Source organism: Homo sapiens, chromosome 3 (assembly GCF_000001405.40).
Source record: "Homo sapiens chromosome 3, GRCh38.p14 Primary Assembly".
Taxonomy (NCBI): Eukaryota; Metazoa; Chordata; class Mammalia; order Primates; family Hominidae; genus Homo; species Homo sapiens.
In genome coordinates, this window is record NC_000003.12 from 141,349,771 (window position 1) to 141,376,838 (window position 27,068).

Sequence of the window (27,068 nt, forward strand, 5' to 3'; positions counted from 1 at the left end):
TAAAAACAAGAATGGCCCAAGAAAAGAGTAAAGATGAGAAACAGAAGGGAAGAAAGAAACCCCCAGTTGGCACCCCTGAGAAATTTGATGAGATATTGCATCATAAAAGAACAGGATGCAATGAAAAAAGAAAAATCAGAGCATTGTTAGAAGCCCTTGGATATTTAAAACATTTACAAAAATATCTCTATATATTTTTAAACAAAAGCATTAGAATATAAATTCAAAGAAATCTCCCAAAGAGGACAAAAAGATAGAAATCATAAAACGAAAGAGTCTTAGAGGGCTAATCCAGGATGCTCCACAGCTGACTAATAGTAGTGACAGTAAGAGAAAATGCATATTGAGAAATAGAAGACATTTCCTAGAGCTGAAGGACATGAGTCCATTAGACATAGAATCATTACGTTTACACATCGGGGATAAGAAAAGATCCTCTATGACATTTGTAGTCTGTGTTGTGACTAAAATGAAGTCTTTTGTGCTTTCTTTATAGGTTTAGTCTAGGAGTTGAAAATGAGTAACAGGGCTTACATTATGGTGACCATGAAAAATATTGTAGGTTTAGTAACCACTCTGATTATATTTCTTTTCTTGTATAGTCTTTTGGTTTTTTTCACTGGAGTTTGTATTTGCCTTTCTGAGCATCTTTGTCATCATTTTATCCCTCAAGTTTATTCAGTCTCCTTATGTAATCAGTAATTCTATCAAATCCTCTTCTTTGCTCCTGAGACCTCACCTACTTCAATTTGGACGTCTTGCTCTCTGGGTCTTCACTGGATTAAATTGCTTGGAGTCTACATTTTGTTCTTTCTGGTCTTAATTCCTTGGTTTGCTGAAACAGATCCTCAGGTAACTTCTTTAGAAAGGATGTATAGGTGATCAATTTTCTTTGACATCATATTTAATTATCACCTTTAATTGATATATGAGTCAAAAGTGTATTTTTAGTTTGAAAATTGTTTTTTTCTTGAAACATGGAAAAATTGTTCCAATGCCTTCTAGCATCAAGTGTTGCTAAGAAAAGTTCTGATAAAATTCAAATTTTCATTCTGTTGGTAAGAACATTCCTTTCCTCTACTCTCACTCTCTTAAAATGAATACAGCATGCGCTAGCAATATAAGCATATTGCTTAAAGATATGGAGATGTCTACCAGAAGAAATGTCTGAAAAGGTAAGAAACGATTGCCTTTGTACAGTAGTACTGGAGAAGACAGTTCACCATTGCTTTATTTATTTTTTCTTAACAATGTGCATTATTATTTTGAAAAAAATTTATATTATAAAACGTGGGTTGCTAAACTATAAAGAAAAGCCAGTGAAAGATTATCACACAGGGTAGGGTTGTGTTATCTCTAGGTCAGGGAGGTGGTTGTGCTCAGAACTCAGAAAGGAATGCTAGGGGCTCCTAGAGAACTGACATTACTGTTATTTGACTTGAGAAGTAATTGACCAGTTGCTTGCTTCATACTTATCCTTTAAATGGTACAACCATGTTTTATGAATGCTCCTAATATACAATTCACAATTTTTAAAAAGAGGCATATGACATACATTCATTCCAAATGCCAATGTAAATGTCTGGTCCAAGTCAGCTTAGCAAAATAAAAATTGTCTTGCAAAGATAAAATTATCAATACTTTTCTTTAATAGTACAAAAACATATATCAGACCAGGCATGGTGGAGAGAAAGTTCCCTCCCTAGGACTTTGGGAGGCTGAGGCAGGAAGATTGCTTGAGGCCAGGGGTTCATGACCAGACAGATCCTATCTGGGCAACATAGTGACCCTGTCACTACAAAAAAAAATTTTTAAAGCCAGGCACAGTGGCACATGCCTGTAGTCCTAGTTACGTGGGAGACTGAGGCAGGAGGATTACTTGAGCCTGGGAGTTAGCTGTAATCATTCCACTGCACTCCAGCCTGGGTAACAGAGCAAGACTCTGTCTCTTAAAAAAAAAAAAAAAAAAAAAAGTATTGTCATTAATTTTCCCTTTTCGCTTTTCTCAGATTCAATATTATAGGTTGAAAATGTTAAATATTAAGTGCAATCGTGATCTAACAATTCATTTATAGATGAGTTAAGCTTATATTTTTGAGGGGTTTTTAAATCCCATGGGAGAGGAAGATACCATTTGAACCTCAGGTTGTTGGAGATTTCAATACAAAGATAAAGTCTTGTTTTTGTAAGGTTTTGTTTCTAGAGGTTTACTTCTCATTATTTAATTCAGTTCCATATTGACTGAGTACTTGAGACCTACCAAGAATTCATTTACCCAATAAATATGCCAGGCATGGTTTTGGCCTAATGCTGCAGACAAAGTCCTTGCTCTCACCAAGCTTACACTCTAGGGGAGCAGGGGAGGCAGATAGTCAGCAATTCAATAAATAATTTTTTTATATATCAAGTGATAAAGAAAAATAGAGCAGAAAAAGAAGCTAGAGTGGAGAGAGTGGGCTGCTATTTCATGCAGAAACCCAAATGAAGTGAGAGAGGGAGACGTGTGGCTATCTGGGATGTATAATCCCAGCACCTGCCTCCTTCTGGGGTTACACAAATAAATATGTCTGTGTCCTCAAGGTATGTATAGACTATGAAAGAACCCATGATAATCTGAACTCTCAGAATCAGAATGTTGTAGAAGGGGTAAGATTCAGAGTATGTTTAGAGTGAAGATATACAGATGGAGGGAAGGTCAATGGGAGGGCTTCAAGTTTAAGAGAGAGATGAGTAAGCAGGCAAGAACAGATGAAGCATTTCATAAAGGGAAAGCCAGCTAGGGTTGGCTCAAGGAATAGCTAGGAAAATGGGGTGATGATGGTATACATGGGTGAAGGGAACTGGGGGAGAACTTAAAGCAAAATGAATTATAGGCATAATACATGACAAATGGGGTAAGCCAGAGAGTGGACGAGAGGGATGGATGATCTTTGCCACAAAGCAGCTCTCTAGGCAGAGTAGAGAGTGAAGCCTGTATTTTCCCCAGATGAAGGAGTGGCCCCGCTGAGCTGGGCCACTACATGCTGCAGCCATAAAAGCCATATCTCTGATCACAGCGAACTCACAGGCCAGTGAGCCCAGATATCAAGCATGCACAGACAAAGGAAACCTGAAGACACTCGACTGCAAAATTGAAGGTAACATAAGAACCCCCAAATAAGACTAAGCTGCCTTCAGTCTTAGTAGTACTAGTTTGCATGCCAAACAAATGAACAAACAAACCAACAAACCCTGACCTCCCCTTCCCCCATCCCCAAACCTTGAAAAGTAGCAGAGTATGTGCAGACCATGATGAAGGAGTTTCAGGGCATAATGCACAGCAAAACTTCCTCCAGACAGACAAGAGTCCCTTCGTCCCAAATCCCTCAGTTCACCAGGGGTGTTTAAGCCCAGAGGCTCTCTCTTTTCTCCTCCCCATCAATCTCTCTGTCTCTGTCACCTTCACCATTTCTCTTCTACCGCCTCCTCTTTCTTTCTCTCCAAACCAAGCCCTCAGACCTCAACCCAACCCTCTCTTCTTTCCATGAGTTCTGGCCCTTCCCCCTGAGGGTGATGCCCCTTTTTCATCTTTCCCCTTTTGCATCACTTACCCCCAAGCTTCCTCCAACCCACACCTCTTAGAAAGTAGAGAAAAGTAAAGAATTCTAAAATTTCTCATTGAATGTCTTCACTCTTGCTACTAACCAAAAAGCAAAAGACATTAGAACTCATGGAAGAAAATTGAGAATCAATTACCTACCAATACAATAGATATTTCAGTTTTCCAGAGGGAAAGGGCATTGGGAAGGGGGGAAGGGGAGAAGGGGGAAGAAGGAAAGAGAGAACAATGGCTCCACTATCATTTGTATGTATGTATGTTTCTCCCATGGATTATGGACCATGCCACACATTGCTGAAGCCTGTATCTTCCACAGCGCCTTAGCAGGTAGAAATACTTGAATGAATGAGTGAATGAATAAATGGACACATGAGCATAGCAAATGAGGCATTGAGTGCAGTGAGATTGCTCCTAGCTGTCTGATGACAGTCCTGGTTCACTGTTACTCACTGTAGATGGAGACAGCTTCTTGGAAGCTATCCTGGACTCCAGCAGTTATCTCCAGGAACACTCTAGTTGTTCCTCCGGCAAGTGTGGTCTTGCAGAACAACATGATCATCAGCTAACTGCTGCAGGAATTCATAAGCCACCTTATGAAGTCAACACTTGGGTATCTGGTCTTATCCCAAAATTTCTTCAACTCAGGCCCTCTTGGTTGGACTTGTTGATTTCGTAAGTCAATAATCCCTTCACACTCTTACAAATAGTGTGGATTAAGTGGTATCAAGGTATAATCTCTTTCAAAGTTCTGTGCACAATACACACAATGCTTGTATCTCAAAGTTAACTTTTAAAAAATACCATAAACGTTATTACAAGGAAATCATTACTAACCTACAAAACCCTTAACACTCAGTATATCCCACGTGAGCTGCCTGCTAATCCTCTTTAAACCCTGCTCTCAGCATGGAATTCCTGAGCTGAAAACCCAGCTGCCCAGTGTCTGAAAAACTCTATACAGCATTGAAAGCTGGTCCCACTTTCCAGGCCACACTCCATGCATTCCCCATTGCTTCCAACATGCTGCCTCGCAATCAGGTGGTGGCCATTCTCATCTCTGTCCCTTTGTCCAGCCAGCTTCTTCTTCCCTGGAGTTTCTCTCTCTTTCCCCTCCTCTCTCTCCCAGCTGACTGAAATGGAGAAATTGGATGGGCAAAAGTTTCCTCCTAGAAGCTCTCTTCCAGGGAGCCTTCCTGACTGGTCCAGTCCTTGTAGCTTTCTGGGCTCCCTACATCCTCCCTTGCTCATGGTCAGCACAGCCCCACCTCGGGATTCATCGGCATATCTCTCCAGGCAGGCAGTACCTTCCTCCTGGAAGTACCCATATCTTTTACTTCTCTCTGTCTCTCAGAATACTTAACACATTGCTTTTTGCATAATGGCTATTACTGCAAAACTCTGATTGAGTCAGAGGAACTAAATCCATTTGTTTAAGGACTTGCAGTTCATCCTGTTGTTCCTCAGGTGATGGGCACTGGGAGAATGATGGGCACTGGGAGAATGATAGGCGTAACCAAGATGGAGGGTCTAGGCCTAATTCCAGGCCTCTTTCTCACGATTCTTCTTGAAGATCCTGTTTTCATCTTATTTTTAGGATGGGTAGTGGAGCACATGGCAAGATCCTAAGAAGTCATGTTTCCACTAAATTAATATATGCACACATTGTTATAAACTAAGCTATACATGCTTAGTTTATATTCTCTTAGAATTTCTAAGAGGTAAAGATTACAATGAGAGGAAGGAGAGTTGAGGAAGCTCTCCTCAAAGTACAAGCACTCCTCTCTTTCCAGGGAATCTCATAGATTACATTATAGAGATAAATGTGGGTAACAGGTAAGAATGCTGTGTAATAGCAATACCCAGAGGCAAAGAATGTCACATTCCTGTACTTCTCTAAAATCAGATTAAACTTGGCTACAAGGTCCTTACTCTCCAAGGTTGGGAAATAGTCTAATATCCTGATTACTGGGTCTTCCTGACCCCTCCATGGGCATGTACAGGAGCCCTAGTCTTTCACATGCCCAGAGAAATGGGGATATCCTGATTCATAGACCGTGGTGGTTGTCGTGGTAACCGCTACTCCTGCTACTCCATGTTCTAGTCTTTTCTGCTAGTTGGACCCTCTAGGGGGCCATGGAAAGGCGTCTTGGTGCTGTGCTTGTCTCCCCTGGCCACAGGTTATCCATGGAGAGCCCTACTCCGGCTCTCAAAGTCAGAGCGTACAGTGTGCAGCCTCCACAGGCTTTCCAGTAGCTCCCACCTGAGTTCACACAGCAGGGGTGGGATGTAGATCCCTGCCACCCTGTAAATCTCTAGCCCAAACACCCACCTCCCACACAGACTTCCCATCTTAGGGGGGTCACCAGTAGGGCTGGACCATCCTCTCCTCCTTTAGCCACAGCAACTGTCTCCACCATCCTGAATAATTCTTCTTAATCAGTCTGGATTTCAAACAAAGATCTGAGTGGAGGGGCTTTATCCTGGGAGCCCAAAAACTTCTCTGTTTTAGGCTCCAAAGCACAAAGGGCTATTTCTTTCCCCCTGAGGAAGGAGAGCCAGCCCAAGACACAAAATTCAAAGCTAAGAAGAAATTCCCTTATCATGCTTTTTTGCTGGTAAGGCCGCAGCAGTAAAAAGGACACCAATTAACTTCTCTGCCACTCTGTTTCATGGGTGAACACTCAGCCTATAGGTGTGTGTTTGTGTGTGTGTGGTGGAGTGGGGGTTGTGTGGCCAAGTGCATTAACAAAGGCGATGTGGAGCCCTGATGAAATCTCAAAGGGCAGTTCTGAAAGAGGAGCCATGGAAAGAAAGCATTAACTGTAGCAGATGCTGCTGTGCCCTGGGACCATGGGAAGTGAGGAAATGGCAATTTGTTAGGATTTCCTGCACAGCAGTTGGACTAGGGCTGGAGTAAGGAATAGGACTGCTCATACAGTGGCCCAGGGGTGAGAAGACAGACGGCTCTTCCCTCGCCCAGCCTTGCATCCTGGCATGGGGCTACACTTCAAGGGACACCTTTTCTCACTCATACAAAAGTGTTACAGGGCTGCTGCGGCTCTGTTTAGGAAAGACAGTAGGGTAAGAAAATATGCCAGGTTCAGGGGAAGCCTCGGTATTTGGTCGACCATAAAGACTGACACAATTCTGTACTACATCTAACCTTACATGAAAGCCTCACCAAGCATCAGGGAAACAAAACACATTGACACAACCAAATACCAATCAAGGGAAGCCAGGGATGGGGAAACCAAGGCAGAGCAGCATCTCGTCCCCCTCCCTGCTCTCCTCATCGAGTTGGTCAATTGGTCAAGTGCTCTGGCTGTATCAGTCCAGGCAAATATGGGCAATTCTTAAATTCTCACTTAAAGTGTTAGAGGAGAGCTTTTAAAGATGATTGTTCCTGCTAGGCTTCCTTATTTGTTATTGCAAACAACTGGGAAATTATCTTAATAAGCGTATTCTATATAAGTGTCTTAGAATGGAGAAATTGGGGAAAAAAGATTTAAGATTTCCTTCATTAATCATCAAGAATGACTTTTTTTAAAAGTTCACTTGGGAACTATAAATGTAATATCTGTTCATTGCAGAAAATAATTAGATCACTACCAAATTGCTGTCTTCAAAATTATGTATAATATATGTTATAAATTATATAGAACCAATTTGTTTTCTCATTACTACTATTTGTGTTTGATCTTTTCTCCATACACTTGACCATTAGGCATATTCTTAATCTTTTCCATGTTTGCCAATGCGACAGGCAAATGACCCTCCTTGTGTTGGTCTCCATTTCCCTGACGCTAGTGATATTGAACATGTTTTATATACTATTTGTCATTGGTACTTTTTCTATGACTTACTTTTTTTTCTTTGCCCTCTTTCTTGTGTGTTGTTTGTTCTATTAGCACTGATATTAATCCTTTATTATTCTCCTGAAAATATTTTCTCAAAGTATGTCATTTGTCTTTCAACAGTGTTTATGGTGTCTTTAGCCAAACAGGGTTTTTATGCAAAGAAATCTATCAATGACTTACTTTATGGTATTTGGAGTTTTGTGACTTATTCAGGAAGGCACCCTCCATTATAAAAATATTCTTTTATTTTTCCATTTGGTATTTTTGTCATCTTTTGTTTTTTGTTTTGTTTTGTTTGTTTGTTCATTTGTTTGTTTGTTTCGAGATGAAGTCTCGCTCTGTTGCCCAGGCTTGAGTGCAGTGGCGCAATCTCGGCTCACTGCAAGTTCCGGCTCCGGGGTTCAAGCGATTCTCCTGCCTCGGCCTCCTGAGTAGCTGGGACTACAGGCACCCGCCACCACGCCCTGCTAATTTTTGTCTTGAACTCCTGAGCTCAGGTGATCTGCCCACCTCAGCCTCCCAAAGTGCTGGGATTACAGCATGAACCACTGCGCCTGGCTATTTTTGTGGTCTTTAAAAAAGTTTGTATCATCAACTTAGCTTTTATTTATTTGTTGTATAATGCAGAGGTAAGACCCTTAATTAACACCACCTAACCACATTTTATATGCATTGTAGAGAAAAAAGGAACCTAAGCTCTTTTATTCATCTGAGAGACCGTGGTGAGAACTCTGTGAGAGAGGAAAAGATGTTTCCCAATAAAGATCATACACTCTAGTGGGAAGGCTATTATGGTAGCCACATAATCCAAATTTTCTAAAGTAGTCCTGGTTTGTAATATTCTTTCTTACTGACACAGTATTAGCACCAACTTCTGATTCAGAAACTGTGGTCATATAGCCAATCAGCCTATGAAAGAGGACAAGGTAAGCGCCACAGGAAGTCTGTTGAATTCTACTAATTCAGAGGTGCAAGGGGCATTTCTGCCTGGCTTTCCAGGCAGAAATATTAGGGAGAACATTTGAATTGAACCTCAGAGGCAAGTTAAATTTTGATAGACCAAGATGGTGGGAGGGATCCTGCCAGGCCCAGGGAACAAAGGAGCAAAGGCAGAGAAGCAGTGAAGCACAGGTTGTGTGTCTGGAAGCCTTGCGATCTGTCCAATTGTCTGCCATATAGGGAAGTCAGGAGGATTTAAATTAGATGATAGTTTGAGGCCAGAGGGTGGAAAACTTTGAAAGTCAAGGAAATGAATTTGTGCTTTATTTTCTAGATAATAGATCACCACTGAAATGTTCTTTTAAAAATGGCTTTATTATGATATGATTCACACATCATTCAATTCACCTATTTAAAGTGTAAAATGCACCCTTTTAAAGTGTATAATTCAAATTTTTTTAGTATAGTCACAGACAAATGCAACCATCAACATAGTCACTTTTAGGAAATTTTCATCACTTCAAAAAGAAACCTTGTACCCTTTGGCTGTCACCTCCCTAAGCCCCTATCTCCATCCCAGCCCTAAGCAACCACTAATCTATTTTCTGCCCCTATAGATTTCCCTGTTCTGGACATTTTATATGCATGAAAACATAGAATTTGTGGTCTTTTGTCAGTGGCTTCTTTGATTTGGCACAATACTACCACTAAAGGCTTGAACTACAGAATTCTCTAACCAAACTGGCTCTTTAGAGAGAAGGGACTGGATTCAGGATGGTGGATTGGGGCTGGGCGACCAAGGAGAGCCATTAGGAGGCCAGTGAGTAGCTGTTATGTGGTCATATGAGTGCTCAGTAAGGAAGATTTTGGCTGCAAGTAAGGAACACTGAACTACAAATGGCATAAATGACAAAGACATATTATCTTACTAACAGGAAATCTGGAAGTAGGTGGTTCTCGAGTTGGCCCAGGACTTACCAGTGTTGCCAAGGACCCAGCTCTTCCACCTTTCTCTTCACCATCTTAATGTACTGGTTTTTACACTCTGACCTTCCCCCTCATTGTTGGAAGATGCTGCTGCTCTTCAAGGAATCACCTCTTCATACAATTGCCTACAGAAACCTGAATCTCTGGCTTTTAAGGAAAGAAACTTTTTCCCAGTGCTCTACCCAAGAAACTTCCCTTCATGTGCCATTGGCCAGGATCATGCCACACATCCATGCCTTAGTTGCGAGGTAGGCTGAGCATGTGCCTATCTGCCATTGTCAGCCCCTATGGTGGGTGGTGAGCTGTGCCCAGCAAGAAGGAAGGAAGAGGTAGTGGCAATTGTGTAGGCTAACAACAGTGTTTGCCACAAGAGACAAAGAAGATCCAGGATAGTAGAGCATTCTTAGTCCAGCAAAGGACAGTATTTTTTGAAGATAAGAATGTGGTCAAATGGCACAGTGAAGATAAGAAAAACAGTAATCAATAAAAAGATAATGGGCCAGGTGCAGTGGCTCATGCCTGTAATCCCAGCACTTTGGGAGGCCAACGCAGGAGGATCACTTGAGCCCAGGAGTTCGAGACTGGCCTGGACAACACAGCAAGACCTCATCTCTACAAAAAGTTAAAAAATTAGCCAGGCATGGTGGTCCATGCCTGTGGTTCCAGCTACTCAGGAGGCTGAGGTGGGAGGATTGCTTGAGCCCTGAAGGTTGAGGTTGGAGTGAGCCATGATCACACCACTGCACTCCAGCCTGGGCAACAGAGCAAGACCCTGTCTCATAAACAAAAACAACAAAATTTTTTTGAGTTGTCTTAGTTTTTCTTATAAATTTGTCATAAGATGAAGTTTTAAAACCTCATATTCAATAGAAAACCAACAGTGCTTCCTATAAAGTGCCCATAATAATAAATACAAAAACAACAAAAGAATCTTACTAATTTCTAGTTAGACAGCATAGCCTACAGAAGACTCTAATCCTGAACCAAGCTCTCTACAAAAGGGTGAGATCCCAAGTGTCAAAGAGGCATTAAACACATGCACCACACAATTCAGTGTCCTCTAATGTCTGTCATAGACCATCTTAGCTCTGGGACCCCACAGTGCTGCTTATAATCTGTGCTGTTGACTCTAACTCCTGTATGACAAGCAAAGTCAAAAGAATCCCCTGTGTGCCTTGATGCTTGTTTCGGCGTGTGCCTGGAGTGAGGGATGAACGTCTTAAGCTTTGCCATCAGAAATTGCCATTTTTGTACATCAAAAAGGGTCTACAATTGTCATTTCTAATACAGTTCGGCCTAATCAACCACCAAAGATTTTAACATTGATTCTGGGGAGGCATGAGGGGATGGAAAATCTTTTAATTATATTTTATTATATTACTCTTATTTATGAACATGTATTATTTTTGAATCATTAACAATTCTAATTTTTAAAAAGTAAGGAACAAAAAGAGAGTGCTTAGTCTGAGCTGTCAAAAGCTGTGAATAAGCTGTAAGTCCCTGGGCAGGTCCCGTCATTTTTCTAGTCTAGGATTTCTTCACCTCGGCACTATCGACTTACTGGACCAGATAGTTGTGTTGGGGTCGGGGGGCTGTCCTGTGTATTATAGGATGTTTGGCAGCATCCCTGGCTTCTACCCACTGTTGACGGTATTACCCCCAAAATGACAATAAAAAAGTCTCCAGATGTTGCCAAACGTTTTCCAGGGGGCAAACGCACCCCTGGTTGAGAATCACTGCTCTTGTCCTCAGTTTCTCATCAATAAAAGGAAGCACAGAACCAAGTGCTTTAAGCTCACCTAAAGCACCAAATTCTCTGACTCCGTCAATGTCAAATCTGTAAATTTGTTTTCCAGAAGCTATTTTCCTCCAGAGCCACTAGAGGGGACACTCTGCTACACAAAGGACAAAAACAGAGCACTCAGGGAACTTTGTTTTCCTCTCCTCTTGACTTTGTTTCTGTTTCTGACCGCCCCAGCCTTAAATAAATAGTCTTTGATGTTGAGTGTGATAACCCCTTACCACGAAGCATGAAGAGTTGTTTGTCTTGTGCCTGGTGCCATAAAAGTCAGTGTTTTTAGATATGGCGGGGAGGGGAGGGCAAAATATTCTCTGCTTTTTAAACATTCTTTGTAAGGTAGTCAGATGAATCATGCCTCTAAAAAAAGATGTGCATTTCCATAAGCGGAGCCTGCAGGACAACCAGGCTGGGAGGTGGAAAATCTAGTTCTGTTCCTGGTCCTGCCACTTCTGGGCTGTGTGATGTTGGCCAAATTTCTTGACTTCTCTGGTTTTATATAGATAACAGAACTGAGGAAGCTGAGGCTGAGAAGTTAAGGTCACACAGTATGTTAAGTGGTCAAGCAAGGACTTGCGTCTGACCCATCAACTTCATAGAATAGTTGTGAAAACCAGAAGAGATGGAGAAAGTGAAAGAGTCTTGAAAAATAGAAAACCCCACAACAAGTTCAAGGTGTGAATGTGTAGATATTGTGGGAATGAGAGAAGGGGATGGCTATGGGGTAGCATGAGGGAGCAGGGTAGGTCCAGACAGCAAACAGAAGTTACTCCTTCTCCAAGTGTTGTAAATTACAGGAAAGAGCCTCAGTGCCCCCAAATACTTCACTACTGATGGAGCTTCATCCCTAGGACTTAAGGTCTCCATCCCTATAAAAGTGGACAGATCACTAAGAGGAGTTTACTTTATGCTCTGATGAGTTGTTTATACACCTCAGCGAAAGTGAGGGATCTACAACACTGGTTTTTAAACATTTTTTTAAAACCCTGAACCACAATAGAAAATATGTTTCACAGAGAGACCCAGCTCACATACATATTATAAAATCGAAACGAAAGTGTTAGTTATAATGTACTTGGATCTTTTCTATTGTTTTATTTTATTCTATCACTTGCAACCCATGCTGACCCACTAAATAATGAGTCCTGACCTGCACTTGAAGGTATTATACTAGAAGGTTTTGTGGAGGGGAAAGAGTTTAGGGTCCTGGAGCTGGTCTAGGGAGGAAACAGATGTGTCCTCCGAACAGTATTCAAGGATCCCTAAAGATGAACTTTTTACAAGTTTTATAGTTTTCCAAGGGCTGATTCTCTGAGGCGTGATTCAGGAGGAAGAAAAGAGAACAATAATTCCAAATTTGAATTCCCAAAATTCACCCAAATGAGTGAGGATGGGCCATTGGGTAGCAACCTCTAGACTGGATTCTCAGAGGTTATGATCTAAACCCCCCACATCATTAACATAAAATAGATAACATAAAATATAGATAGCATAAAATGACCACCAGCACAAAAAACATTTTTAATCCAACATTTATTGAGCCATTATTATATATCAGACATTGCACTAAGCACTTTACATGAGTGATAGGACATAAATTAAGTTTAAGTGTTCCCTGATTTTCTTCTCTTCCTGCCCACTAACAAGAGTTCTGGCTTTGTTTGTCCAATTTCTTTTTCTGCCCCAACAGAAGAAGAACTGGACAGAGCGGAAGGACCAGAGGAAGGCTGATTAGGACTGGAGAAAAGATTTCAGGGAGTTTGGGAGAAAGAAAGGGAGGCAGAAGCTATGGGGTGTAAGAGGCTTGGATAGGAGGGGAAAAGGATGCTGAGGGGAATTGAAGGGGCTCTTTGTGATGTTTGAGAAATGCAAGTATTAATATGAGTTAATTAGAAATTACTTTTGGTGACTAGACTGGGTTTCTTGGGCTGCAACCCTGCCCCCCACCCCAAGACTGCACCCTGTAGGTCATGGTCTGAATAGGGTTACATATGCATTATCTTATTTAATCTGCATAACAAACCCATGAGGTGGTATTAGTATTTCCTTTTTCTCAGATGAAGAAAAAGAACTTGATACAGTCTAAGTAACCTTACATTACATGCAGCTAATAAATAGTGAAACCAGGACTGGGACTTAAGACTTTTGATCATGAAAGCACAAGCTCTTAAGTCCGTGAGCATAGATGATTCCCAGTATAAACAATACCAGTTAATAAAATACTCGAGAATAAATTTAACAAAAGAATTGCAAGACTTGTACACTGAAAACAACAAAACATTGCTGAAATAAATCAAAGATCTAAATAAATGAGAAGGTTTCCTAGGTTTATGAATCAGATGACTGAATATTGCTAATATGGGATTACTCCCAAAATTGATCTGCAGGTACCATTTAACATCTATCAAAACCCCAGCTGTATTTTTTGCAGAAATTGAGAAGCTGATCCTAAAAATCATATGGCAATGCAAGGGATCCAGAATAGCCAAACGATTTTGAAAGAGAACAAAGTTGGTGGACTCACACTTCCTAATTTCCAAACATAATATGAAGCTATAGTAATCAAAACAGTGTGGTACTGACATGACAATAGATATCTAAATCAATGGAATAGAATTAAGAGTCCAAGAATAAATATTAATATTTATGGTCAGTTGATTTTTGACAAAGGGGCCAAGACAATTCAATAGAGGGAAAAATAAATAAACTCTTTATTTTAGAATAGTTTTTTAAATAAACTCTTTATTTTAGAATAGTTTTATATGTACAGAATTATTGTAAGAATAATCTTTTCAACAAATAGTTATGGGACAACCAGATAGCCACATGAAAAGAATGAATGTGGATCCCTACCTCACACCATAGGCAAAATTAACTTAAAGTGTATCATAGATCTAAATGTAAGAACTAAAACTATAAAACTCTCAGAAGAAAACTCAGGTGTAAATCTTCATGACCTTGGGTTAGATAATGTTTTCTCAAATATGATGCCAAAAGTACAAGTGATGAAAGAGAAGATTGATAAGTTGGACTTTATCAAAATTAAAAACTTTTATGCTTCAAATAACACCAACCAGAAAAGAAATGACAACCATAGACAGGGAGATAATATTGTAAAATATATATCTGGTAAGGGACTTTTGTCTGGGGTATATAAAGAATCCCTAAAACTCAAAAATTTAAAAAAAAAAATTAGGCCGAGTGTGGTGGCTCACGCCTGTAATCCCAGCACTTTGGGAGGCTGAGGCAGGCAGATCACCTGAGGTCGGGAGTTCAAGACCAGTTGGACTTCATCAAAATTAAAAATTTTTATGCTTCAAATAACACCAACCAGAAATGAAATGACAACCATAGACAGGGAGATAATATTGTAAAATATATCTGATAAGGGACTTGTGTCTGGGATATATAAAGAATCCCTAAAACTGAAAACTTTAAAAAAAAAATTTTAGTCCAGGTGGCTCACACCTGTAATCCCAGCACTTTGGGAGGCTGAGGCAGGGAGATCACCTGAGGTCGGGAGTTCAAGACCAGCCTGACCAACATAGAGAAACTCCATCTCTACTAAAAATACAAAATAAGCCAGGTGTGGTGGCACATGCCTGTAATCCCAGCTACTCGGGAGGCTGAGGCAGGAGAATCGCTTGAACCCGGGAGGTGGAAGTTGTGGTGAGCTGAGATTGTGCCATTGCACTCCAGCTGAGGCAATAAGAGGGAAACTACATCTAAAAAAAAAAAAAAAAAAAAAAAAAAAAAAAAAAGCCCAATTTGAAAGATAAAGGATTTGAATAGACAGTTCTCCAAAGAAGATATACAAGTGACCAATAAGCTCCTGAAAACACACTCAACATCATTAGTCATTTGTTAAATGCAGTTCAAAATCACAATGAGATATCACATTGTACCCACTAGGATGGCTATAATAAAAAAGACAGGCAATAACAGCATTGGTGAGGATGTGGGGAAATCAGAACCCTCATAAATTGCTAGTGAGAATGTAAAATGATGCAGCACTTTGGAAAACAGTTTGATAGTTTCTCAAAATGTTAAACATAGTACGATATCACTCAGCAATCCCACTCTTTTGTGTCTACCCAAGAGACATGAATGCATGTCCACAAAAAAAAAACTTGCACATGAATGTTCATAGCAACATTATTCATAACAGCCAAAAAGTGAAAACAACTCAAGTGTTCATCAACTGAGATTTGGATAAACAAAATGTTGTATACCCACACAGTGGAATATTATTTGGGCATAAAAAGGAAAGAAGTACTAAAGTATTCTATGCCTTAGTTCATTTGCTGTTGCTTAAACAGAACACTTGAACCTGGGTAATTTATAAAGAAAAGAAATTCACTTCTTACAGTTATGAAGGCTGAGAAGTCCAAAGTCTAGGGATCACATCTGGTGAGGACCTTCTTGCTGGTGCGGACTCTCTGCCAAGTCCCAAGGTGACACAGGACATTACATGGCAAGGTGGCTGAGAGTGCTAGCTCAGGTCCCTCTTCCTCTTCTTATAAAGCCACAAGTCTCTCTCTTGTGATAACCCATTAATCCATTAACCAATTAATCCATTAATCCATGAGTGGATTAACCACCTCTGAAAGACCCCACCTCTCAGTACTGCCATATTGGAGATTAAATTTCAACATGAGTTTTGGAGAGGACAAATATTTGAACCATATATTGTATGATTCCATTTGTAGAAAATGTCCAGAAGAGGAAAATCTATAGAGACAGAAACTAGATGAGTGGTCATCTAGGGCTGGTAGGTGGGGACAAATGAAGAATGATACCTAATAAGCATGGTGTTTTTTGGGGTGGTGACAAAAAGTGTTAAAAAAAAATAGATTACAAATTACATAATTCTGTAAATACACTAAAACCCATTGAATTGTACACTTTAAGTGAGTGAACTTTCTGATATGTAAATTATACCTTAATAATTTTTTTTAAAGAGAGGGAATAAAATGAGAGAAATCTAAGTCAACAAGTATAGACAAGTCTTCCAAGGAATTCCTTGCATTCATAAAGGTTTGGTTTTAATTACCAGCATTTAACTGCATTTGTTGTAGCAAAGGAGGAGGATGCTCCACTTCACGTAGAGACCAGGGAAGTGCCATTGTACTTACTTCTCTGTATCTCCAAGTGGATATTTTTCCCAGTTCTCTGATTTTATTTTCACTGTTAGTATCAACCCCAGAGCATATAACCCAAGAATCTGTGTCTCACTTAAGCTTACTGATCATTTCTGCTTCTTTTCTTTATTTTTCTGTTCACATTATCCTGATAGGATGCAGGGTGAAGAAATAATCAGCCTCTGTTCATCTTATTAGAGAAATAAATACCTGTGTATATGAAGCAAGCAAGGCCACTGAGTCTTTGGGGAAACAGAGCAGGGAGGTGCCCAGAGGCATTTTCTGCAGAGAAGGAAGAAAAGAATAAACAAGTCTTCTGCCAAAAATGCCTGGAACTTAAAGCGATTTCCTCAGCCCAAGATCAGGCTGTGTGCAGACACTGACAGTGAACCTGATCAGTTGCTGCTGCTCCCTTGATTAAAAGCATGTAGCTTTCTCTCTTGTGAAATTCACCTCTATAAATTCCACCTGCCTAGGGATTCAAACTACATGGAACAAGTGCAATTCCTCAGAGTGGCAACTGGCAGAGCTCCCAGGAACAAGGTAGAACTACACAATGTCCCAGGCATCAGAGGCATAGATTGCCTGAGTCAGGGAGAGTGGTCTCTGTGACCTGACACCCCACCCACAGTGGGAAGGAAAGCTGTGGGTGTGTTATCAAGGAGGCCTCCACAAGGGGCTGGAAATTCCTGGTTTTGTCTTCCTCTTGGAATGAGACATTTACTCTAAGAGAATCATGGAAAAGTACAAACCACAGAATCATAAACCACAGAGGGAGAAGCTACCTCGTAGGTCATTCTTATGCTGGGCCCAGATACCCCGATAAGCAGATGTTCTCTTCTCACCACCCCTCCTCGCCTTTGCTTGCCCACAGCCATTGCCAGGACTCTTCCTCAGGCCCAGAAAGGCAGCTGATTCCTGGTAGGAGGGCGCTAAGAGTAGAAAGTAACTACCATTGTCAGGTCCAGATCTGTTCCCAATCCCTTCTCACTCCTCCTGCACTCTAAAACCACACCACAGTTCCAACTCTTTCTGAGTCTGGAATCTTTGAGAGTGCCGTCATGTCCTTCTTCCTGTAGCCTTCTTGTCCACCCCAGATGGACTGACCCTCCCACCTACATCCATGAGGCCAGAAGGCAACAAAGACAAGCGTGGACTCTGGCTCCCGCCGAGGTACTCTGTACCCCGTGGCTCTCGGATTTTGCATCTACCACATGCCACAGGCTTGCGTCCATCCGACCTCCCTAGTTTCTCATCCCCACTTGAACCTGATGACTGATTCGCCCTCCTGGCTACGCTGAGTAAGCCACCCACTTGCCAAACCTCAGACCTGGTGTTGACGCAGTAAGAAGGCATGAGGCCCATGTTGCCAGAACATTCCTAATTGTTTCATTGTTTCCTTGTAGGATGTGGTTTCAAGTCCCATCTTTGTCTCTTTTCTCCTGGCCAGGTTGCCCTTGGTCAATATTCCTTCATTCACTCCAGCCACTCAGCACCGTGATTAAGAAAACAGGATGTGAGATTAGATGATCCAGGCTCTGCCATGAACTAACTAGCTGTGAGGCTTTAGAGAAGTGTCTTAACCTCTCTGAGCATCCATTTCTTTCTCTATAGCATTAGGAATATTAATAGTACCTACCTCACAGCTTTTTTGTTGTGATAATACCAATAAATGAAATAATCTTCATAAAGCACAGAGGCTTGAATGTTCACTCTAAGTATTTAATATGTGTCCTCTACTATTTTATTTTACAATTATCATTCCTTAATTCATCATATAATTACCAAGCCTCATGCCAGGCACTGAGATATAAATATCCCCTTTAAAGAGTGGTCATGTCTTAAATCCAGGAAGAGCTAGTTCATGTTGGCACCCAGGGTAGGGAGCGAAGCCCAGGGCCACAGCACAGAGGCAGAGGAGAATAGACACTGACCACCAGGAGCTGCCCGGGGATGGTGACAAAAGTGCCTTCCACCTTTCCGCATCTCTTTCAATACCACTGCAACTCCTTGAGTAAGGTGGGCACCACACAGAAGAAGGGGGATGGCAGAGGGGCAGTGAGAGGTCCCCAGGGAAACACCCTCTTCTTCTTCCCTGCTTCTCTGACAGAGCACGGCCATGCCTCTGCCATGCAGGAGGGTGATGTCCTTTGGGGAGGCCTTGTTGAATCTGTCTGGGGCTGTTCCGGAAGTAGGAAGGGCGGCTGGGGGTGGGGAGACGGCAGGAATGTTCTCCTGGCCTGCTGGTCTGTGCCGGCGAGTGTGCTGAGAGGAGGGCCTCTGGACATCAAAGGTTCCTTTTGTCCCCTTCCGAGTGGCAGGGCAGCCCGGCCCGGGCTGCTGGCGATGACTCAGGCCTGGCCCTGACGTCACCCACGCCCGGCCACTGGCCTCCCTCTGAAGCCAGGAAACTAGTTGGGGAGTGGCACTCGCAGCTGCAGCAAATCTCAAAATAAAGAGGCAACGGCCTTTCTCTTCCTCTCCATCTCCCTATAGCACACCTTTTATTTCTTTTCTTCTTTTTTTTAAGCCTCACGAAAGATTTTACTTGTAGATCAACTTTCAAAATGTAGGAAGTCAGAATGGGTGACATCATCAGAAAAATATGTGGAGCTGATCACAAGAAGTGAAGAACCCAGAGCACGAAAGCGGTTGTGACTCCTGGGCCCAGGGAGTTGACAGCGTCTGGGTTTCAGAGGAGCCAGCGCCTCCGAGTAAGTGAAGGCCCACTTTTGGCCCCCCCTCACTCAGCGCCCTTCACCGTAGGGCGCCATCTTGTTCCCTGACGCCTACAGCTTGCCAAGCCCCAGCCCAGAGTTGGGAGTAGGGACTGCATTTGGGAGACCCTCTAAATACGGCCCCAAAGGGATCTGATATCTCTCTCCACAGGATCAGAAAAGAATGCAAAAAAAAAAAAAAAAAACAATACTAAGACGGAAACCCTGGGGAGAACAGCCCAACTGATGCCTTTCCCTGTCAACCCTCTTGTTTTGCCTCCTCTTCCTCCCCTCACCTGAGTATTCCGTTTCAGGCTGTCAGAATGTTTGTTCAGAGTTCTGGATTGTTTGCTTCCTAGATCTTATACTGAGCGATCAGACATAAAAATAAACCCTGTTCTAGGCAAATACGTGTCCTGTGCCATCAAATGGTATTTTCACACTTAACCTGGTAAAATATGACAGCCCTGGTAAAAAGATGTACATAATTGTGCTGCCTTTACTGAGCACGTTTCTGATTGTTCTGTGTATGAACCTCCATTATCTTATCGCCCTGTTTACAGAGGACTTATTTTCATTCCTACTTGTGCCATCGTATCTGGGATGATATTAAGCACAAAGACACAATGTGTCTGTTTTAACTTTGTCTAAAAACTCATAGTTCTTTACAAAGCCTATAATTTCACGACCTCTGGAAGTTCCTACCCAAGAAAGTTAAGTTCCCAAGAGAAAAGTTTTGACACATACATGAGAACAGCACGTAGGCATAGAAATCATACCCTGATTTTCCCGGCTTCTAAGTCATCCCCTGAGTCAGCATCTAGTCTTCGTATAGCTGACGTACCAGGGGAGATCTGTTCTTCAGAAATTCTATGTTAAAATGACTGGGAGCGGGGAGGCGTAAGTCTCATTTTAAAGGCAGTAAGGAAGCTTGTCATTTACTGGAAAACAGTGGCATATTCCTTTGTAAATGGACAACTCCCTTTGGAAATTAACTATCACACACTAAAATATCTGTTTTATAGGCCTTATGTTTTACTTTTTGTTTTACTTTAATATATTAGGTTGTCTTGAAGTGAGGCTCTGCTGTAGTCCTGTTCTTCTGGCTCTAAGATCTGAATGTTGTGACCACTAATTTGGTAAGTGTCATTTGTCCCCAACAGCTACTTAAATTTAAGTCTCCCAATTCTCCTTTTTTAGTTTGTGGTAAGATTCAAAGAAAAGGGGAAAGGGCACAGAGATTTCTGTACACAATGATTACAGCTATATTAAAAAGGATATTAGGATAGGCTAATTGTTATAATAGAACCCCAAATCTATAATGGCTCAAACACAATAGTTTATTTCTTGCTCATGTAACAGTACAGGTCAGTGGGGCAACTGTCTTTCATGCATTCATTCAGAGACACAGGTAGAGAGGGGCTTTGCCTTCTGCAGCATGTGGTTTTCAAGGTCGCCTAGGGGTGTCTCCACTCCTCAGTGCAGTAAGAAAAGAGCATGAAAAAGTGCACATGGGAGTTTTTTATGGGCTCTGCCTAGAAGTGGTGCGTGTTACTTCTACTCACATTCCATTGGCTAAAACTCCATCACATGACCACAGCTAACCACAGAGGAGTCTGGGAAATGTAGTCCTTGGTGGAGCAGCCACTTAGCAGTGACAGCTCTGGAGGGGTTTCTGAAGAAGAGGTAGTTCTCTCTGGCACAGCACATAAAAGAAACTTGGAGATACTCAAGGATAAAGTTGCATAGAAACAGTGGGAGAAGTAAACAATTATCCACATTTAGGTTTTCCTGACTGACACTCTTAGGTAACATCTGGCCATGAGGGCAAGATGCAATGGATGAGATTTCTCAACACCTCTGTCCATTATGACCCTAAGCATCATGTTGCCCATGGCCAGTGAACCATGAAGGACATTTTCCTTATTTCCTTTTACTTATTTTTCCTCTCAGGATCCTCTTGGTCTAGGACTATACTGGCTTTCTCTTCTTCCTGGATCTAGTCATATTAGTTGGAATTGTGACAGAATTCTGCTCCCCCAACTATGAGCCCCAGTGGTCTATAGGAAAGCTCTTGACTTCCTTAGCTCGTAGTTTTCTCTGCTACTGGAGGCTTTGGAAATGTATCCTACAGGATCTGCTCCAGGTCTTGGGACATTTGATCAGGGTGAAAATTCCCGAAGGTTAGACCTTTAAACCAAGTTATTAAACTGTTTTTTCTTTTCTTTTCTTTCTTTCTTTTTTTTTTTTTTTTTTTTTTTTTTGAGGCAGAGTCTCACTCTGTTGCCAGGCTGGAGTGCATCGGCATGATCTCAGTTCACTGCAACCTCTGCCTCCCAGGTTCAAGTGATTCTACTGCCTCAGCCTCCTGAGTAGCTGGGACTGCAGGCACGCACCACCACACCCAGCTAATTTTTGTATTTTTAGTAGAGATGGGGTTTCACCATGTTGGCCAGGATGGTCTCCATCTCTTGACCTCGTGATCTGCCGGCCTTGGCCTGCCAAAGTGCTGAGATTACAGACATGAGCCATAGCGCCCAGCCGAGAAACTTTTTTTTTCTTTGAGACAGGGTTTCACTCTGTCACCCAGGCTGGAGTGCAGTGGCACGATCATGGCTCACTGCAGCCTCAACTTCTCAGGCTCAAGCGATCCTCCCAAGTAGCTGAGACTACAGGCATGTGTCACCATGCCTGGCTAATTTTTGTATTTTTTGTAGAAACAAGGTTTCACCATGTTGCCCAGGCTGGTCTTGAACTCCTGGGCTCAAGCAATCCACCACCCACCTTGGCCTCCCAAAGTGCTAGGATAACAGGCATGAGCCACCGGGCCCAGCCGAGAAACATTTAAAAGTAGACTAAAAAGTCTCAGGCTGGGGCTATTAATGCTACCCCAAAAGATGTGATATATATGTCTAGCTTTTTATTTTCAGGAAAAGTTTCAAAACATTTACTGAAATAATAAGTGGTAAAGTTGTAAGCTCTGTTTGGAGAACTTTTAATAAGTTTAACATTTTATGTAACCTTCTAACCATTGTTGATGTTGGTGAAGTATTCCCCTCATTCGTAAATATAAACCATATGATGGGTGCCTTGTGATGCCCCAGACTTAAAGGTGTGAAATAAAAATGAACTCAAGTCTTTGCCTGAGGTGCCTGGTACCTAGTTCTCTAGTTTTGTCAATATCTGACTAAACACTCTGGTTTCTGATTGACTTTTGCCCCTGGACTTGACCTTTCTGGCACCCACATCCACACCCTGAAGAGCATGTATTGTCTGTTGTGTGGGGATACCTGTTACTGGCCAATTTGCCACAGCTTCTCAGATATCTGACAGAGGCTGATGCCTGGCCTACTCTCCTGTTATGGCTGCCTAGCCTCTGCCCAGTCCCCTTACATTAGGATGGAGCTGAGGAGGAATGGAATAGAATAACAAGATGAGTTGCTGCAAAAATACTTCAGCCTCTGAAAGTCTGTCTTTCCAAGTTGTTAGGAACTGAAAGTGTCTATTGATCGGGGAGCTGGCTGGGCTAGTGGTATAAGCTAATGATAAGACCAGGTTGGGCTGGGCATGGTGGCTCATGCCTATAATCCCTGCACTTTGGGAGGCCGAGGCAGGTGGATCACTTGAGGTCAGGAGTTCAAGACCAGCCTGACCAACATGGTGAAACCCCATCTCTACTAAAAAAAAATACAAAATTAGCCGAGCAGGGTGGCGCACACCTATAATCCCAGCTACTTGGGAGGCTGAGGCAGGGGAATTGCTTGAACCTGGGAGGCAGAGGTTGCAGTGAACCGAGATCACACCACAGGACTCCGGCCTGGGCAACAAGAGAGAAACTCCATCTCCAAAAAAAAAAAAAAAGACCAGGTGAATGGGGAATACAGTGCCTGCTAGAAGGGTGCAGTTGAAGGAATAAGTTAAGAATATGTGCCAGATTTCAAAAGCTGGAGCCAAATGGGGATGATGTGTTGCTGGAAGTCCTAGCCTAACAGAGTCTTTCAGGAAGGGCAGAGCCAAAGGTCTCAGTCAACATCAGGGTCCATTCATGTGGGAGAATGGCTAATCACAGCTTGCTAATTTCAACTACCATCTGTTATGACTCCTCAAAGCACTAAGTATGCAGTAGTTGACATATGAATGGTGTTAGGGTTGGGGGAGGGGGCCAGCCTCCTGATTTCTAATTTCTAGCTGCATATTACTACAGGAAGGGGAGTAAGACCACCACATCAGGTACCAGAATTTCACTACTGTCAACACTTTGTGTTTGAAAGAAAGCCATAGATCCCTGTGACCACTGGATGCTGAGTGACCTCACAGACAACATCAGCAAAGCAGGATTGTGTACAAACACACATTTTGTAAATATTTTGATATTTGACATTTCAAAAAAAGCATCAAAGGAGACAGCCTGGGAAAAGTTAGACTTTGTTGAGCTTTCTCAACCTTAATTTTGTATTTTGTTATTTTTTTCTATTTTAATTTCACATGGGAGTAATAATTCAAATTTGAGGCACTATAGTCTTTTCAGAGCTTAGGTCATCTAAAGATCTGAGCCTGGCCTTGTTGAGCCATGATGAGCAGATGTGGACTGAGCACACAGTCTCACACAGGCAGCTCTTACACTAGTTGAGTATTTTAATCCCTGAGGTTTTAGAATTGTCATAGCACAGGTGTGCAAGCTCCTTTCTCCCCATGGGTCAGCATCATGAATGTTCTGTCACTCTCCTTAGAGAGTTTTGCAGAAATACCACATCATATTCACCAAAACTAAGAATTCATAGTAATAGGGCTTTATAATTTCTCACACTGAAATCCCCTAATTTCTTGTCAAGAACCAAGTTGGAAAATACCACACTTCAGGGTTTTGTTTTTAACTCAAGAAGCTTCTGGTTTTCATCAGAACTTTAAAGCTCCCTCCTACCTCCAAAATAGTATTGTTAGAAAATGTAATGCTGAGACTCTGTCAGAATAAGTAGGTGATATATGCAAAATGATATGGGCAACTTAGAAAAGTGCATGTCAAGGTAAACTGCTGATAAAGGCCGGGAGTGGTGGCTCACACCGGAAATCCCAGCACTTTGGGAGGCTGAGGTGCGCAGATTGCTTGAGGCCAGGAGTTCAAGACCAGCCCAGCCAAAATCGTGAAGCCCTGCCTCTACTAAAAATACAAAAATTAGCTGGGCTTGGTGGCACATGCCTGTAATCCCAGCTTCTTGGGAGGCTGAGGTATGAGAATTGGTTGAACCCAGGAGGCGGAGGTTGTGGTGAGCCACGACTGGGCCACTGTACTCCAGCCTAGGCAACAGAGGAAAAAAAAAAAAAAGTGTTGATAAAAAATAATCATCATAATTATGGTCAGTATTGGTGCTTTGACTTTTGATATTGTTATTATCATTATTTTAAAGATTTTTTTGTCTTTCTAAATTGACTTTCATCTGGGAGCCTTAGCATCACTTCTAACTAGCCAAAGCATGTTTGATTGTAGGCCAGACTCCCCATGGAGAGGCTTCTGATCTTATTCACAGGGACATTTAACCTGGGGTTCACTGAAACCTTTGAGGAATGATGGATGAGTCATCTCTCTGCCAAAAGAAGATGATTCCTGGCATTCTATGGGGCTCCCAGTGCATTGGGATAAGGAGGCTTGGAAACTCCTCCACGGAGGCATTGACCTTGGGTAGTGCCTTCCAAGCCAGAGTGGAGAGAGTGGACCCCTCATCTTTGTCCAAAAGAGCATTAGTATAACCCCTCACCCCAACCCCACCCCATTCTCTCCTTTTTAAAAAGAGAGAAGAATATATACAAGAAAAAAATTGGAAAAAATACATCAAAATGTTAAAAATTGTTGAGATGGTATTTTATGTGGTGTTTTGCCCCCATTTAACATTATGTTGTAAACATTTTACCAAATCACTAGATGGTCTTTGAAAACATGATTTTTAATGGCTCTATTTCCATTGCACTGATACATTTTAATGTATCAGTTTTTTGTTGTTGGACATTTTGATTCACTTTAGTGTTCTACTATTTTTAAAGTTTCTAATGCATATTGGTGAATTGGCCCCTAGAAAGGTACGAATGTCTATTTCAAAACCTTGGTCTTTTTTAGTTTCTCACATTAAAATGCATGCTGCTAGGCCCCAGTGGTATTGGAAGCTCTGAGGAGGAGCCTGGGGATATGCATTTTAACCTGCCCTCCCAATTCTTCTGCATTAATGCCTGAGAACTATTGACATGCTGCATTCAGTTCAACAAATATTCAGTTGGCAAACATTTATTAGACAAAAAAAATTAGGAAACTCTGAGCTAGTATGTCTATGCCAGAATTTAACTTAAAGTCTTTTTTTGGCTTCTGATTTTTAGATTTTCCTTTAACTGTAATATGATGTAGTAAAAAGATTATTAGCTAGGGAATCAAGAAACCATATTGTACACATGAAATCACTGAGGCCCATAATGGTTCATTTACTTCCTGGTGGTCACTCAGAGATTTAATGGCAAAGGTTGAACTAGACAAAGGGCCCAGAGTCACCCAACCTTTAGGTAAGAGACAAAAGGCGCCAATGAGAAGATTCACTCCTGAGGCAACGCCCTGCCTCAGCCAAGGAGCTCTTACCTGCCCTCAGATAGGCATGCCCGTACTTCAAGACACTCTTGGGCAGCCTAGACCTAGCAAGGGGCCCACGTGCCCATCTTGGTCACCTAATGGGGCCAGACTGTGGTGTGCCCTGATCCCTGAGGTGGTAGCACTGAAGAAGCTGGACCCAGGAGGACAGAGGGCAGCCGTGCAGGCAGCATCCATGTGATCAGCATCACAAGAGCAGAGTAGGAGGTGGGATCTGGGGTCAGAAACCAAGACAGCGGAGCAGGGTCAGGGCAAGTGCCAGACTAAAATATGTGGGCAAATTTGAGGTCAAGGCAGGGATGAGTTGAAAGGAAGACAAGCAAGAGCTAGAGGGGAACTGCTGAGGATTTGGCCTCAAGGATGGAGTCCCACTGTGTGACCTCACAGTCAGGGGAGGTACCTGCCCCAAGCCGTGCCTGCCTTTTTAAATCTGAAAGGTGCTGTGTGCTGGGCTGCCTTCTGACAGCAGGAGAGTAGGAGCACAGCCTGAGAGGCGGCAGGCCAGAGCAGGAGGAACCTGAAAATGGAAATTTAGGAAACAATGGAAAAAACAATTATAGCAACAAAAAACCATTTTCTTTAAACTCTCACCATCCTCTAAGAGGAAGTCTGACTATTCATCCTGCCTGCATAACCCTGCTGAAACCCATCAACCCACACCCACTGATCACCTGACAGTGTCTGACTGCCCGGCTTCCTCTCATCCCACCACCTCAATTTCCAGAGCCCACCAAGGCATCACTTGACTTTCAAGTTCTGCCTGGACAGACTGCTCAGCTCCCTACCCGCCCCAGTTCACGTTCAGGTTCTTGAAATCAACTTTAGTTTCCTCCATGCCTACATCTATGCTGATCCCCTGCAAAGGCACCTGGTGACACACAAGAGCCAGAACCCAAAGGAGCTCCTCCACAGGATCCTCCCAGGGCTTAGCCACCAGGGAATTTTGTTGATGATCCCCAAGCTTCACTGCCCCATGCAAGTCTCCATTATCTCAAGGTTATCCCTGTTCAGGATCACTACTCTCCTGATTCTTGGCCTCCTAGTCCAAACTCATGGCTCCAGGGTCATGATGAGTAAGAGTTCTGGAAAAGTCTACAACCTCCCTTGAACCAGAGGTACCTTGAATCAGATGGAGGGTGACTTTCCAAGAATGCCTGGGCCGGTTCAAGTCTTCACTATAATGTTTGCCTTATGTAAAACCCATCACCTTGTTGTCCTGCACAACTTTCTTGAGTGAAGCACCTCTGATACTCAGATGACATTCTAATTGCTCACGAGACCTGGACCCCTGGGCCAGGAAAGCCCATGTGGTGGTGACAGCAGTGCTTCCAAATCTCACCCACAGGAGACAAAAATAGGAGTTCCATGGCATCCAGACAAGGTGTCCACATGCTGCTGGAGAGTCT

The 27,068-nt window shown here is 42.3% G+C and overlaps 1 protein-coding gene across 42 annotated transcripts in view, besides 9 other annotated features; it reads left to right on the forward strand.

Moving 5' to 3' along the window:
• The window catches only part of ZBTB38 (zinc finger and BTB domain containing 38), a 125,607-nt gene that overhangs the window by 25,585 nt on the left and 72,954 nt on the right, over positions 1-27,068 (forward strand). For 34 of the 42 annotated variants that reach the window (NM_001387953.1, NM_001387947.1, XM_047447863.1 and 31 more), the window contains exons 1-2: positions 18,734-19,034; positions 20,102-20,176. The gene's annotated coding sequence lies outside the window, so the exon portion shown is untranslated. Of the gene's footprint in view, positions 1-2,986; positions 3,138-16,475; positions 18,340-18,552; positions 18,614-18,733; positions 19,035-20,101; positions 20,177-27,068 lie in introns of those variants that run through there. The other 8 variants (NM_001080412.3, XM_047447849.1, XM_047447855.1 and 5 more) reach the window with 5 other exon arrangements.
• Positions 17,533-18,308: an enhancer, noted in NCBI's record as "H3K27ac-H3K4me1 hESC enhancer chr3:141086145-141086920 (GRCh37/hg19 assembly coordinates)". NCBI's record gives its function as "activates a minimal SCP1, AML or CMV promoter by ChIP-STARR-seq in naive H9 embryonic stem cells {active_cell/tissue: H9 hESC(naive)}" and the evidence as "EXISTENCE:reporter gene assay evidence [ECO:0000049][PMID:30033119]".
• Positions 17,533-19,860: a biological region, named in NCBI's record as "P300/CBP strongly-dependent group 1 enhancer GRCh37_chr3:141086748-141087947".
• Positions 18,136-19,335: an enhancer, noted in NCBI's record as "P300/CBP strongly-dependent group 1 enhancer chr3:141086748-141087947 (GRCh37/hg19 assembly coordinates)". NCBI's record gives its function as "activates an origin of replication core promoter dependent on BRD2, BRD4, P300/CBP, MED14 and CDK7 cofactors, with strong dependence on P300/CBP, by STARR-seq in HCT116 cells {active_cell/tissue: HCT116}" and the evidence as "EXISTENCE:reporter gene assay evidence [ECO:0000049][PMID:35650434]".
• Positions 18,401-18,630: an enhancer, noted in NCBI's record as "active region_20624". NCBI's record gives its function as "activates an Ori minimal core promoter by ATAC-STARR-seq in GM12878 lymphoblastoid cells {active_cell/tissue: GM12878}" and the evidence as "EXISTENCE:reporter gene assay evidence [ECO:0000049][PMID:35858748]".
• Positions 19,085-19,860: an enhancer, noted in NCBI's record as "H3K27ac-H3K4me1 hESC enhancer chr3:141087697-141088472 (GRCh37/hg19 assembly coordinates)". NCBI's record gives its function as "activates a minimal SCP1, AML or CMV promoter by ChIP-STARR-seq in naive H9 embryonic stem cells {active_cell/tissue: H9 hESC(naive)}" and the evidence as "EXISTENCE:reporter gene assay evidence [ECO:0000049][PMID:30033119]".
• Positions 23,138-23,187: an enhancer, noted in NCBI's record as "active region_20625". NCBI's record gives its function as "activates an Ori minimal core promoter by ATAC-STARR-seq in GM12878 lymphoblastoid cells {active_cell/tissue: GM12878}" and the evidence as "EXISTENCE:reporter gene assay evidence [ECO:0000049][PMID:35858748]".
• Positions 24,244-24,837: an enhancer, noted in NCBI's record as "OCT4-NANOG-H3K27ac hESC enhancer chr3:141092856-141093449 (GRCh37/hg19 assembly coordinates)". NCBI's record gives its function as "activates a minimal SCP1, AML or CMV promoter by ChIP-STARR-seq in naive H9 embryonic stem cells {active_cell/tissue: H9 hESC(naive)}" and the evidence as "EXISTENCE:reporter gene assay evidence [ECO:0000049][PMID:30033119]".
• Positions 25,866-26,045: an enhancer, noted in NCBI's record as "active region_20626". NCBI's record gives its function as "activates an Ori minimal core promoter by ATAC-STARR-seq in GM12878 lymphoblastoid cells {active_cell/tissue: GM12878}" and the evidence as "EXISTENCE:reporter gene assay evidence [ECO:0000049][PMID:35858748]".
• Positions 26,126-26,255: an enhancer, noted in NCBI's record as "active region_20627". NCBI's record gives its function as "activates an Ori minimal core promoter by ATAC-STARR-seq in GM12878 lymphoblastoid cells {active_cell/tissue: GM12878}" and the evidence as "EXISTENCE:reporter gene assay evidence [ECO:0000049][PMID:35858748]".